This window comes from Homo sapiens, chromosome 22 (genome assembly GCF_000001405.40).
Source record: "Homo sapiens chromosome 22, GRCh38.p14 Primary Assembly".
NCBI lineage: Eukaryota > Metazoa > Chordata > Mammalia > Primates > Hominidae > Homo > Homo sapiens.
Window position 1 is genome coordinate 18,483,514 of NC_000022.11, and position 12,966 is coordinate 18,496,479.

Genomic DNA, 12,966 nt, shown 5'->3' on the forward strand with positions numbered 1-12,966 from the left:
AATTCAACTTATTTAATAGACATAAGTTTATTCACATTAGGATTCTAGCGTGACCTTGGGAAGATTGCCTTTCAAGGAATTGATACATTTCACTGAGGTTATCAGACTGCGGTCATAGAACTGTTCATGATATTCCTTTTAATGCCTAACAGTTCAGTAGAGATGGCTCCTCTTTTATTTCTGAAATTGGTCATTTGTGTTATCTTCTTTTTCTTGGTTAGCCTGCATATCAATTCATTCATTGTAATGAGCATATCAAAGAACCAGCTTTTGGTTTTATTGATTTTCTGATGATTTCAGTGTTTTAATTTTATTGATTTCTGTGATGTTGTTTATTACTTTTACTTGCTTTCCATTGCATTCCTCTATTTTCTATAGTTCCCTAATTGAAACATGATATTACTGATTTTAGGTCTTGTGATTTTTAGTATATTGCATCCAATGCTGTAGATTTCCCTCTAAGGACTGCTTTTGCTACATCCAGAAATCTTGCCAAGTCACATTTTCTTTTAATGTAGTTAAAAGTATTTTTAATTTTCTATTGAGACTTCTTAACCCATGAGTTATTTAAAAGTGCATTGCTAATTTGCAAATATTTGGGGATTTTGTGGCTCTTTTACAGTTGTTGATTTTTTGTTGTCAGGTATGTGTTGCAAAAGCAGTCGTCTACCTCATCTTGCCACCACCCAAGATGGCCCAGGATGTGGGCTCTCCCTGAGTGAATCTTTGGCAATCTGCCAACCTGATGTGTTCGGCCTCCTTCTTTAGTCTGAGCTTGCCTTCTGCTTAGAAAGGGCCATTCTCAGTTCTGGCAGGGAGTTTTCCCAACATTGAGAAGGTGGCATTCTTACTCCCCACTGCAGCCTGCACCTCTGACCGGTGGTCAGCAGACAGGACAGAGGTCCTCATTAGACAGAGTTCAGCAGGGTCTCTGACCAAAGTGCATCTTCAGAGTCTGCACCTACCCACTGTGACCACGGGCAGGCTCTGAGTCCTAAAGCAGGAGGAACTGTGCGACCATCCTGATTGGAAATTTGTGAGGATCACCGTGTTACTCAAGTAAGGTCTTTGGAAAGTGTCGTATTACTACTGTTTGTGAACTGCTTGTTGGTGGCCTGGCTGAGCCACACACTTTATGAAAACCAGGACCCCTCAGCTGGTGTGGGTGTCTATGCAGCCTGAGACCCTCATGTGAACAGCCTCGTGGCAGCTGTCTTTGCCCCTTGCCACCATCAGTGCCTCCTTGTTCCTGGGCACTGCTTTCTCTGATGGTGCTCCATTGTTTTCCTGCACCTCAGTGTCTACAGCTGGATGTCTCTTCCGCAATCTAGGCGAGGGGGCATCAACGGCAGTTCTGCTGTGGCACTGCCCTCCTTCTTAGCTTGTCTTGCTCTGTCTTAGGCTCCCTCAAAGATCCCACCCTTCAGGTTCTTCCACAAGTTTCTTATTGAAATCCGAGCAGAAAACTATGACCAATATGACCAATCCTATACCCACTGAAGACATGAATGAAGAATTAAAACAATTCTCCATGGACTCTACCATATAGATCCCTAGAAGTAATTTCTAAAAAAAAAAAAATCAAGGAAAATGTAATAGTTTTCCATAAATTAGAATACCCTACATGTACAATTAAATGAAATGGCTAGTATAGTCTTGAAACCAAAACCAGATAAGGTAAATTAAATTCTGTGATATTTTAAAATACTTTAAATTCTGACTAATGTGAGTTAATCTCAAAATATGAAATAGTAGATTAACATTGAAAATGCAATAAATAAAATTAGCTACCTCAAGAGTTTAATGGAAAAAAATGTGATTATTGCAATAGATTCAGGAAATTCATGAATAACATTCACCCTATATTTGTAGGACAACTATCTGATTAACTTTAAGTGACCTGTTACAACCACTTGAATTAATGCTGCTTTCACAGCATATCTCTTGGCTTGTTAAAAACCCGACAAGAATTTCCGTAACATTATTTTTAACACCTATATTGGGTGTGAACCCACCATAAAGTTTGCCCACTGAAAAGGTCTACAATTTGATGCTTTATTAAATTGATACTGTGTGCACCCAACACCACGATCTAATTTAAATATGTTTCCCTCACCCAAGTTCTGTCTTGCGCACTGGCAGTTAATCCCCACTCCCATCTCCAGCCCTAAGCAATACTGCTGTGACATTCCATCTCCATAAATTTCCCACTTGCTTTATAGAAATGGACATATATATATATTTGGAATCTGACTTCCTTCATTTAGCATACTATGTTTGAAGTTAATTGACGTGTTAGCACGTGCTGGTCATGTGTTTTCCTTCATAGTCTGCTGTGTTTATTCATACAAATAGTGTTTATTCATTTATCAGTTAATGGACATTTAATTGTTTTGTTATTTTCTTTGATGAGTAATGTAGCTTTGAGCATTCACATACAGTCATGTAATGCATAATGACATTTTGGTCAAAAAAAATTTTTTTTTTTCTGAGACCCAGGCTGGAGTGCAGTGGCACAATCTCGGGTCACTGGAACCTCCATCTCCCAGGTTTAAGCAATTCTCATGCCTCAACCTCCCGAGTAGCTGGGACAACTGGCACACACCACCACGCCTGGATAATTTTTGTATTTTCAGTAGAGACAGGATTTTGCTGTGTTGGTCAGGCTAGTCTCAAACTCCTAGCCTCAGGTGATCCACCCACCTCTGCCTCCCAAAGTGCTGGGATTATAGGCATGAGCCACCACACCCAGCCTAATTTTTTTAAGAAAGAAGGGAACTATTTTCTAAATTACTTTTGCCAATTTATATTCCTACCATGATGCATAGCACTAATTTCACCGTACAATGTATGGTAGGCCCCAATATGTAAGAAATGATGAAAGTAACACATAAAGATTAGTATAAGACAAATGAGATTATCGTTGTTGCTATCATCTTTGTCAAATTCTGAAAACAATCTGAGTATATTTTTATATAAATATGCTTGGCAACATAGCTGAAAAAAGCATTATCAGTTACATTTATCAGTAACAAAGACATAAATTTGAAGGGGGAAAAACACTTGTACTAACAATGCAATGTCAGAATTAACATAAAAATTCTGCTGGTCACTTTGGAATATTTAATTGCCTGGGGCAGTGTTTAGTAGACAAATGAGCATCTATGGAGCACCCAAAGTAGGGGAATCAACAGAACTTGGGTTTCAAAAGTTATCTGGGTTTAGAGCGTGAAACTTTGTTAGAGGACACACACCTTGCATGAGTGAGGTGCCTTGGTGTGTGTGGACGTATCATTATGCTTGGAGGTACAGCATAATGGTGGCTTCCTCCAGAAAGGGACATTTGGGGTAGATTCATGCCATCTAGACAACACAGCCTGATGTGGCATGGACATGAATGGAGGTGAAATGGTCAGTAGTTGAGAGGATCAGTCCTGACAAGGGCCGAGGTGAAAAACCTGGGAACACCTTCAGGTGCAAAGTCTTCAGTTGAAAAAGGAGGTGGTCACAGGAAATACTGAGATGGGTCAGCAATGCATGGGAGACAGAGTTCTTGGCCCTGCAGGGTGAGTAGTGTGGATTCTCAAGTTTTCTCCTCTCTCCATTAATTTCTTTCCCAATGCAGATGACTTCCATCATACAGTCTTCAGCAACCTTGAAAGATTGGACAAGCTTCAGCCCACTCTTGAAGGTAAAGGAAGGCAGCTAACAAGACTGGCATCTGGGCTTGGCTGTGCATGTTTTCTATCGTGGGGAAATATATGTAACACATTATTTATCATTTGAACCTTTTAACCAAAGTGTGCACTCCGTGGCATTCAATATATTCACAGGGTTGCATAACCAACACCACTATCTACACCCACAATTTTGATGATTTCTTACAAAACCTTGTCCACAATAAGCAATATAGCACCTTCCCCCTATTTCCAGCCCATGGTGATTCCTATCCGACTTTCTCTTGTATGAATTTGACTATTCTAGGCACTTCATGTAATTACAATTATACAATATATTCCTTTTGTGTCTGGCTTATTTCACTAAGCATAATGTTCTCAATGTCCACCCATGTTGTATCATCTATCAAAATGATGTTCGTTTTTTACAGATGGATGATGTAGCATTGCATGCAGACCACCTTGCTTTTATTACATTCATTTGTTCACTGATGGTTGGATTATTTCCACCTTTTGGCTCCTGTGAAAAGTGATGCTACAAACATTAGTATACAAACATCTGTTTGATTTCTGTTCTCTATTCTTTGGGGTGCCTAAGAGTAGAGTTCCTGGGTCCAACAGGGGTTCTATATTTAACCTTCTGAGCCACTGCAGACTGTTTTTCACAGTGGCTGCAACTTTATCCATTTCTACCATCAATGTATCAGGGTTACAATTTCTTTACGTCCTTGTTCACACTTATTTTCCTTTAAATCATCCTAGTAGGTGTATATTGGTGGCTGCTTGTGTTTTTCATTTGCATTTCCCTAATGACTAATGATCCTGAGCAGCTTTTCCTGTGCTACTATCTGTGGCTGTATCTTCTTTAGGGAAATATATGTTGAAGTCTTTTGCCCATTTTTAAAGAGTTGTCTGATTTTTATTTAGTTAGTTTGTTGCTGTAGATTTTTGAATATATCTTAAATATATTTAAAAATATTCTAAATTTTAGTCTCTTACAAGATAAATGATTTGCAAATATTTCCCCCTTTGTGTAGAACTTTAGATTCACAAACTTCATTAATTTGTATGAAATCCTCAGCAGTTGACCCCAAACAGATAAGACTGAAGCAGTATTTTAGGAATAGTTGAAAGTATGATCACCACAAAACATAAGCGTAATCAAATCCTGCAAGCTACATGTAAGGCACAATGACAAATAAGGCAGCAAAGGGCCATCTGGTGATTAGTTCACCACACTTGTTGCAACTGTTTGCACTGCAGAGTTAAAACATACCAGCATTCAACCCATGTCTCCTGTCTTGAAGTAAACTGTCGTATGTTGGCTGGCCTGAACAAGCGTAGATATTCTCCATCCTCAATTAATATGCATGCATGACAAAGAAAAGGAGGCCTGGATGAAAAAATACTGTGTGATTAATAATTATGCTTTAATTAATTTTAAAGGATATAATTTCAGTACTTCTAATTCTCCCATCAGCAGTTATAACAAAGGATTAGTGAATAAATACCATAGACTGTTTTGCCTAGAATTGAATCCAACCTGTCTATTAAACTTTGCTTTTATTCAAGTGCAAAATGCTAAAACACATAATAACTGCAGTGACAGCCACTGTGGATCCTCAGAGGTAAAAGTAGTCTTGGGACATAAATCCTGCAAGTAATATTGTTTTTACAGGTTTAGAAAACCATTTAGCTGGGTTTCAAACCTCACAGTGTGAGCAGTGGGACTCTCATCAAACTATAGCATGTGCTTCAGTACCATTTGTAGACTGACTCATTCCCATTGCCTTAAGTTGCCATCAGCAAAATGCCAGGGACTCTATTTCTTGCTCCTTAGCTCCTCGTTCTTGCCTGTCTTTCCACGAGGGAGGATTTTCTAGCAGGAGCTCAAGCTGTGCTTTTAATGAAACACATCCACACACACTGTCCTGTTGTCCACATTAAGCAGAGCTCCCTGAATAACTCATGAACAAAAGCATCTATGACTAACTGTTGCTCTGTGTCCTCCTAGCCTCTGAGGAGTCTCTAGTTCACAAGGACAGAGGAGATGGAGAGAGGCCAGTCAACGTGAGGGTAAGGTTGCCTTGCTTTCTCTGAAATAGAAATGTTCCTTTCTTGTTGTCTTTCTTTTTCAACTGACTTTACATGTGAAAAGATGACAATGTCCATGACAGGTATTAAATGCAGTTTTCTGAGGGGGAGGAAGAAGTGACTCTTAGCAACTGATATGTAATACAAAATGGCATTTAGCTATGATGGCTTCAGGTTGTAGACTGTATCCTTGGGGTCCTTGTCCTTGGAAGCAATGTCTTCTCCTTGGATTCAGTATTTTGCACTTGCCAACCTACGTGGACCTGAGAGATCCACCATCCAGAAGCTGATGTCTTTTCCAGTGTGTATCCTACCCTTGTTTTGGAGGCCTTGAAGTTGACTACACTTTCTGATCAAGTTTTCAATATTCATTGAGAGAAACACAGCCTTGTGCAAACAATCCACAACATGACATACCCCTCAAAAAGCTTTGTTTCTGTATTGCAGGTGGTGCAGGTGGCCCCTCTGAGGCATGAATCTAGTAAGTATTCTGGAATCACTTACCAAGAAAACAATCTGGATGCCAAGAAAGGTGTGGCATCCTTGCCTGGTTTCAATGTGAAGAGCCACCCTGATCCTGGGATTGTGATAGGAATAAGTATAGGGGAAGTGTTTTTTTAAAACCTGAATTCCCCAGGGAAAAATTATGGCCAAATTTTGAGGAAGCAGCTGTGCTCCCTTTTGGGTGGTGCTGAGTTGGGTGCTTGAGGATTGGTGGTGTCTTGTGTGAGGCTGCATCGTGTGGTGTGAATGTGTGTGTTTCTGTACAGGTGAGGCTGTGTGTTTTCTCAGGAGAGATTTCCCACTTATACAACCCAATCACCAGTGTCCACTTCTAACAATAAAATCCACCCCCGCTCTACTCTCTCTGTACAGTGACTCCTCCACCCTCACCAGAGCCATCCCCGGGTCTGCCTTATTATCCCCACTGCTCAGGTGGAGAACCTGAAGGGCCAAGGGAGTGGCCCCAGCTCCCGAGTTCCTGAATGAAAAAGTGAAAACACGAACCCAGGAGTGTGGGCCAGTGCTGACGCTGACATGCACTTAGTCATGGGGTGTTCACCACCACACAGGGAGTCCAGCATTCATGTATAAACCCTAAGGCACCGAGCCCAAAAGGCCCCAGGCACTGCCCATCATCATAAAGTGGTCTCCGTGGTCACACAACCCAGGGCAGTTATAGGTTCATCTCCCCACGGACAGGCATAGTCATCAGTGTGTCAAAAGCACAAAGATCCCCAGGTGTTTGGCTCAGCTCACCGATCCTTTTTTTTTTTTTTTTTAACTTTTAAGTTCAGGGGTACATGTGCAGGATGTGCAGGTTTGCTACATATATAAATGTGTGTCATGAGAGTTTGTTGTACAGATTATTGCATCACCCATATATTGAGCCTAATATCAGTTATTTTTCCTGATCCACCCCCTCCTCCCACCTCCCACCCTCCAGTAGGCCCCACGCTCACAAATTCTAAGAGGAGTGGGGGACCACAAAGGCCAGTGTGGCCCACTTCAGTTGTGAAGTTAATTTGCTCAGCAACTGGCCAAAGTCTATAAGGATGGGTGATGTATTTTAGTAGATTTAGTAATACTATCTTCCCAAGCCCTAAAATGCTCAAATCCTGCCAGCCAAAAATGGTGAGGAGGGACAGATAGGAACTCTGTGTGGCACTTGGTTATTAGCCTGGCTTCCATCCCTTAGTGGCAACTCTCTTGTATATGTGGGTTAAAGACCCTCAGCCTCAAGCCAAGCCTCCTCCATGAGGAGCCATCTCACTATTGACTGGCTAGTGCCGGGTATGGCCACCAGCCCAACTGAAACAAAATGTTGCTTTAAAACAAGTGTAAATCTCATACATACAACAGGCAAATGCAGAAGCAGTGTGGTCTCGCAAGTTGTAAAGAGGACAGTCGCAATTTTGCTGGACTTCAACCTGGGTAGAAGACACGAGGGAACTCTGTCACTAAATCACGGCAGAGTTCAAGGCCGCTTGTAGACTATTTCGTGTTATAGAAGGTGGCCTTTAGCTACTAAGCAAAGGCCTCTGTTTCTCATTTCTTTCCTGTTCATCTCCTTGGTCATCCTTCTTCCACAAGGGAAACGAGCCCAAGCAAAAGGCAGTTTCAATATTAATTTGACCGAGGTTTTGTGCAGTTAATTATCATCCAGGTAATCAGGTGCAACCCAGTCTGCCTAGCAGCCCCCCTATCTCTGCTCTGTGTTTTCATTTAATAAACATTTTGGTCTACTTACTATGTGCTAGATTTTCTCGAGACCAAGTAAATGAGATAGAATCCTTATGTTGGCAGCTAAGTTAGATTTCACATAACTGACAAAAATTAAAATTTCTGATTTCTTGTAAAAATATTTTGTATGTGTGAATGCATACTGAATGTAAAGTGGATAAAAAACTCACACTTGCACTCATGGAAGGCTTTTCATGAATTTGTCAATTTTTATTTTTTATATTTCCCCACTTCACTGGATAATGCATACCTGAACCTGGAAACTGATGCCCACTGCAGAAAGTGTTCTGAGCCACATCCCTTAGCTTCACTAGTGCAGGTCCACCTGGGAGGATGTCCCAGCATCAGCTTGGCCCATGCTGTGATCAGCCACCTCCATGCACCACACCAAGCAAGCCCCTGGGTGATTCACAGTCTCCACTACCAGGGCACTGACCTTAACTCTGTGTTCTTCTAGCTCCCCATGAGGACACCGTACACAACATCACTAACGAGGATGCCTCACACGATATCACTAACGAGGACGCTGTCCACGGCATCGCTAACGAGGCCGCCGACAAGGGCAACGCCAACGAGGACGCCGCCCAGGGCATCGCCAACGAGGACGCCGCCCACGGAATCGCCAGCGAGGACGCCGCCCAGGGCATCGCCAACGAGGTCGCCGCCCAGGGCATCGCCAACGAGGACGCCGCCCAGGGCATCGCCAACGAGGACGCCGTCCAGGGCATCGCCAACGAGGACGCCGCCCACGGCATCGCCAACGAGGACGCTGCCCACGGCATTGCTAACGAGGATGCCGTGCACGGCATCGCTAATGAGGACTCCGTATACGACATCGCTAATGAGGATGCCATATATGACATCGCTAATGACACCGTACAAGGCACGCTAAAGAGGACGCTGTACACGACATCGCTAATGAGGACACCATACAAGGCATTGGTAATGAGGACGTTGTATATGACATCGCTAACAAGGACACTCTACAAGCCGTCGCTAACAAGGACACTGTACACAACATCGCTAATGACGGCACCGTACAAGACATCACCAATGAGGGCGCTTTATACGACATTGCTAATGATACCGACAAGGCACGCTAACGCGGACACTGTACACGACATCGCTAATGAGGACTCCGTATACCACATCGCTAATGAGGGTGCCGTATATGACATCGCTAATGACACCGTACAAGGCACGCTAACGAGGACGCTGTACACGACATCGCTAATGAGGACACCATACAAGGCATCGGTAATGAGGACGCTGTATACGACATCGCTAACGAGGACACCATACAAGCCGTCGCTAACAAGGACACTGTACACAACATCGCTAATGACGGCACCGTACAAGACATCACCAATGAGGGCGCTTTATACGACATTGCTAATGATACCGACAAGGCACGCTAACGTGGACGCTGTACACGACATTGCTAATGAGGACACCGTATAAGACATCGCTAGTAACTATCGCAAGAACAAAAAACCAAACACCGCATATTCTCACTCATAGGTGGGAATTGAACAATGAGATCACATGGACACAGGAAGGGGAATATCACATTCTGGGGACTGTTGTGGGGTGGGGGGAGGGGGGAGGGATAGCATCGGGAGATATACCTAATGCTAGATGATGAGTTAGTGGGTGCAGCGCACCAGCGTGGCACATGTATACATATGTAACTAACCTGCACAATGTGCACATGTACCCTAAAACTTAAAGTATATATAAAAAAAAAAGACATCGCTAGTGAGCACGCTGTATACGACATCGCTAATGAGGACACCATACAAGGCATCGCTAACGATGACGCTGTACACAACATCACTAATGATGACACCGTATAAGACATCGCTAATTATGACGCTGTATACGACATCGCTAATGACACCGTACGAGGCACGCTAACAAGGATGCTGTACACAACATCGCTAATGAGGACAGTGTACAAGCCATCGCTAATGAGGACACTGTATATGACATTGCTAACGAGGACACTGTACAAGGCATTGCTAACGAGGACGCTGTACACAACATCGCTAATGAGGACACCATATAAGACATCACCAATGAGGATGCTCTATATGACATCGCTAATGACACCCACAAGGCATGCTAACGAGGACGCTGTAGACGACATTGCTTATAAGGACACCGTACAAGACATCGCTAACGAGGACGCTGTATACGACATCGCTAATGAGGACGTTGTATATGACATCGCTAATGAGGATGCTTTACAAGACATAGCGAATGAGGTTGCTGTATATGACATCGCTAATGAGGACATTGTATATGACATCGCTAATGAGGACGCTCTATACGACATCACTAATGAGGACGCTGTATACAACATCGCTAATGAGGACGCTGTATATGGCATCGCTAATGAGGATGCTGTATACGAATTCGCTAATAAGGACGCTGTATATGACATTGCTAATGAGGACACTGTACAAGACATCTGTAAAAAAGAAGATGCTGCCAATGTAAGACACTTTTCTTTGTCTTGAACAGAAATGTTACTTTCCTGGCTTCTTTCCAATCAGATGTAGACATGAACATCTGCCAGTGTGCATTATCGATGTCATCTGCAGTTTAATCAAATGTAGACATGAACATCTGCCAATGTGGACTATTTATGACATCTGCAATTCCCTTGGTGTGGTGCTATTGATTGGCGGCCTCTCACCAACCCATGCCAGGCACACTGGGGTGTGGTAGATGGCAGCATCCACGATCCACTGCAATGCAGAGGTGTTTCCCTCCACAGCAGTTTTCCCCCATGGATTAAGAGTTGTGAAACTGCCAATCTAGATACACTTTAAAGATAAATTCTGTGGGAAAAGGTCTTGTCTTTTCCACAGGTGTCTTCCGTGCCAGTTTTGGGGGACTTTGACCTTTGACTCAATCACTATACCCCTTCTTATTTTCTCTCTCAAGTTGTCGAGAGACTATCAGATCTGTGTGACGTGTATGGCATCATTTCACCCTCCTAATGTTTTCTTTTCTATAATTGCAGGAGCCATTGACACTGGAGAATGATACCTACCCTGAAATAACTCACTTCCTGAGGAAAAAACGCCATCTCTAGGGTACAGAAACCTGATTCTGGGCTCCTTTTGGGAAGGAGGATTTGGAGTCTGGTGAGAGCAAATGATTTTGCAAGTATAAAACAATGTCCAGAGAGGCTGTAGGGATATCTGTGAGCCCAGAGGAAACACCAGGGGATCCTGTGCGAAGCACCATGGCTTCAGCTAGGGTGGGAGGAGTGGGTGGGCCTCTCTCTAATGACTTATCCTGGTGTTTGTGTTTCTAAAGATTTGATTGTGGAGAGCATATCTGATGATGGGGATTTGTAGGTAGGTAACTACTTTCCACGTAAGATCCAATTGGAGAGAGTTCCCAGGGGCCTTCGGGGTATCCATGCTGCTTGGGAGGTTAAGGGAGGGGGCATGAAATCAAAAGGAAACAGGAAATATGTGTCATATTGGATTTGGTCTTTTCCGGGTTTATTGGCATAATAGTTAGAACTGTCTCTCTGGGCTATGAGGGTGCTGTGATATTTAAAGGTGGTCTTTCCCAGAACACCTGGCCTTTTCTTTTCTGCCTCTGCCAAACATCACAGCCTTTGGGTTGGATTAGTCAGCACCCCTTGGGATTGTGCAGAAGAGGTTTGGGGTTGCATCGAGTGTCACCTGTGGTGAACAGAATCTGAGGGACACAACTCTCTCACAGGCACTTCCTTCAACCTGGAGACAGAGTTCTCCTGGTGTGTGCCCAGGGGTGGAGGAGAAATTGACAGTCTGCCTCTGAACTTTCAGGACTTTAAAAAGCACTCATGTTTCCATCCTCACTGTTGACTCCTGGCTTAAAGGGATCTCCCGGGGTGAGTGAGGAGGCGGGATCGGACCCTGGCAGTCTGACGGCAGCACCTGTGTTCCTCTGCACTGGGCCGTGGATGACATTACACACCTTGGTGAGAATCAGGAATTGAGGCTAACCACATCTGAAATTGAGATGGGCCTTGAGTCATATAAATAGTTTGGAAAAGATGCATTTTACTACGCTATTGAAAGAAACCATTTATTTCTCACTCCAGCAGGATAAATGGTTTTCAGTATCCACTTAACTGCTCATTGACTCTTACTGTAGATGAGGAGGTGGCCAGCAGCCCCTGCCCTCCCCCAGTTGTAGGCCCAAGGTAACCAGCAATTGACTGGATATAATGGAAGAGTGGTGCATTCGGAGGTATCTGTATTAATGGGACCCACATGATATGGATGAGAGCTATTAGGGTGAGAAAAAGCCTGGGAGCACAATGAAATATTTAAATATTAAACAAAACATTGTTGAAATCTCCATTGTACTTTAGTAGTTGAAGTCATTCTTGTGGTCATCACTGCCTTTCCCAAGCATAACAAGCTACTTAATATCACATGGACCCGTGCCATGAGGAATGATGATCAGTTTGTCAAATGCCAATAAAACAATTGCCTCTATAAGCCACAATGTTTCATCCATATATTTCAATTTCCATGTGTAAGTATAGTTCAAATTTCAGAAATTTATTATTATCTAATAGAATATGCATGGTATATCAATGAGCAATTATCATACTGTTTCTATTAACAATTATTTGTATGATGAAAAAAGCAGACTCCCATTCTTGGATTTTTCTCAGTTTGCACACATTAGCATGACAGCCCCATTTCCACCTGACATGTGCCAGCAAGAGGCCAGGAACAGAGGCTTTTCTTATTAACTAAGATTTCTAAATGTATTACGTATTCACATTTAGAAACTCTAAATATCATAAAAGGTTAGCAAGGAAGTTTCCCTTCCACTCTGAACTTCCAAACACCAAGTCAACGTTTTTGTTTGCATATCATCCCTGCAATCTATGTGCAAATAGAAGCATGCACCTGGAATGCAGGCTGAT

The 12,966-nt window shown here is 42.9% G+C and overlaps 1 long non-coding RNA gene across 2 annotated transcripts in view; it reads left to right on the forward strand.

The window, feature by feature from the left end:
- Positions 1-12,966, forward strand: part of FAM230A (family with sequence similarity 230 member A) — a 79,211-nt gene that overhangs the window by 62,130 nt on the left and 4,115 nt on the right. For both annotated transcript variants that reach the window (NR_165629.1, NR_136560.2), the window contains exons 5-11: positions 3,626-3,691; positions 5,692-5,753; positions 6,219-6,252; positions 8,473-10,513; positions 11,047-11,119; positions 11,346-11,386; positions 11,849-12,003. This is a non-coding gene — a long non-coding RNA (family with sequence similarity 230 member A). The remainder of the gene's footprint in view (positions 1-3,625; positions 3,692-5,691; positions 5,754-6,218; positions 6,253-8,472; positions 10,514-11,046; positions 11,120-11,345; positions 11,387-11,848; positions 12,004-12,966) is intronic.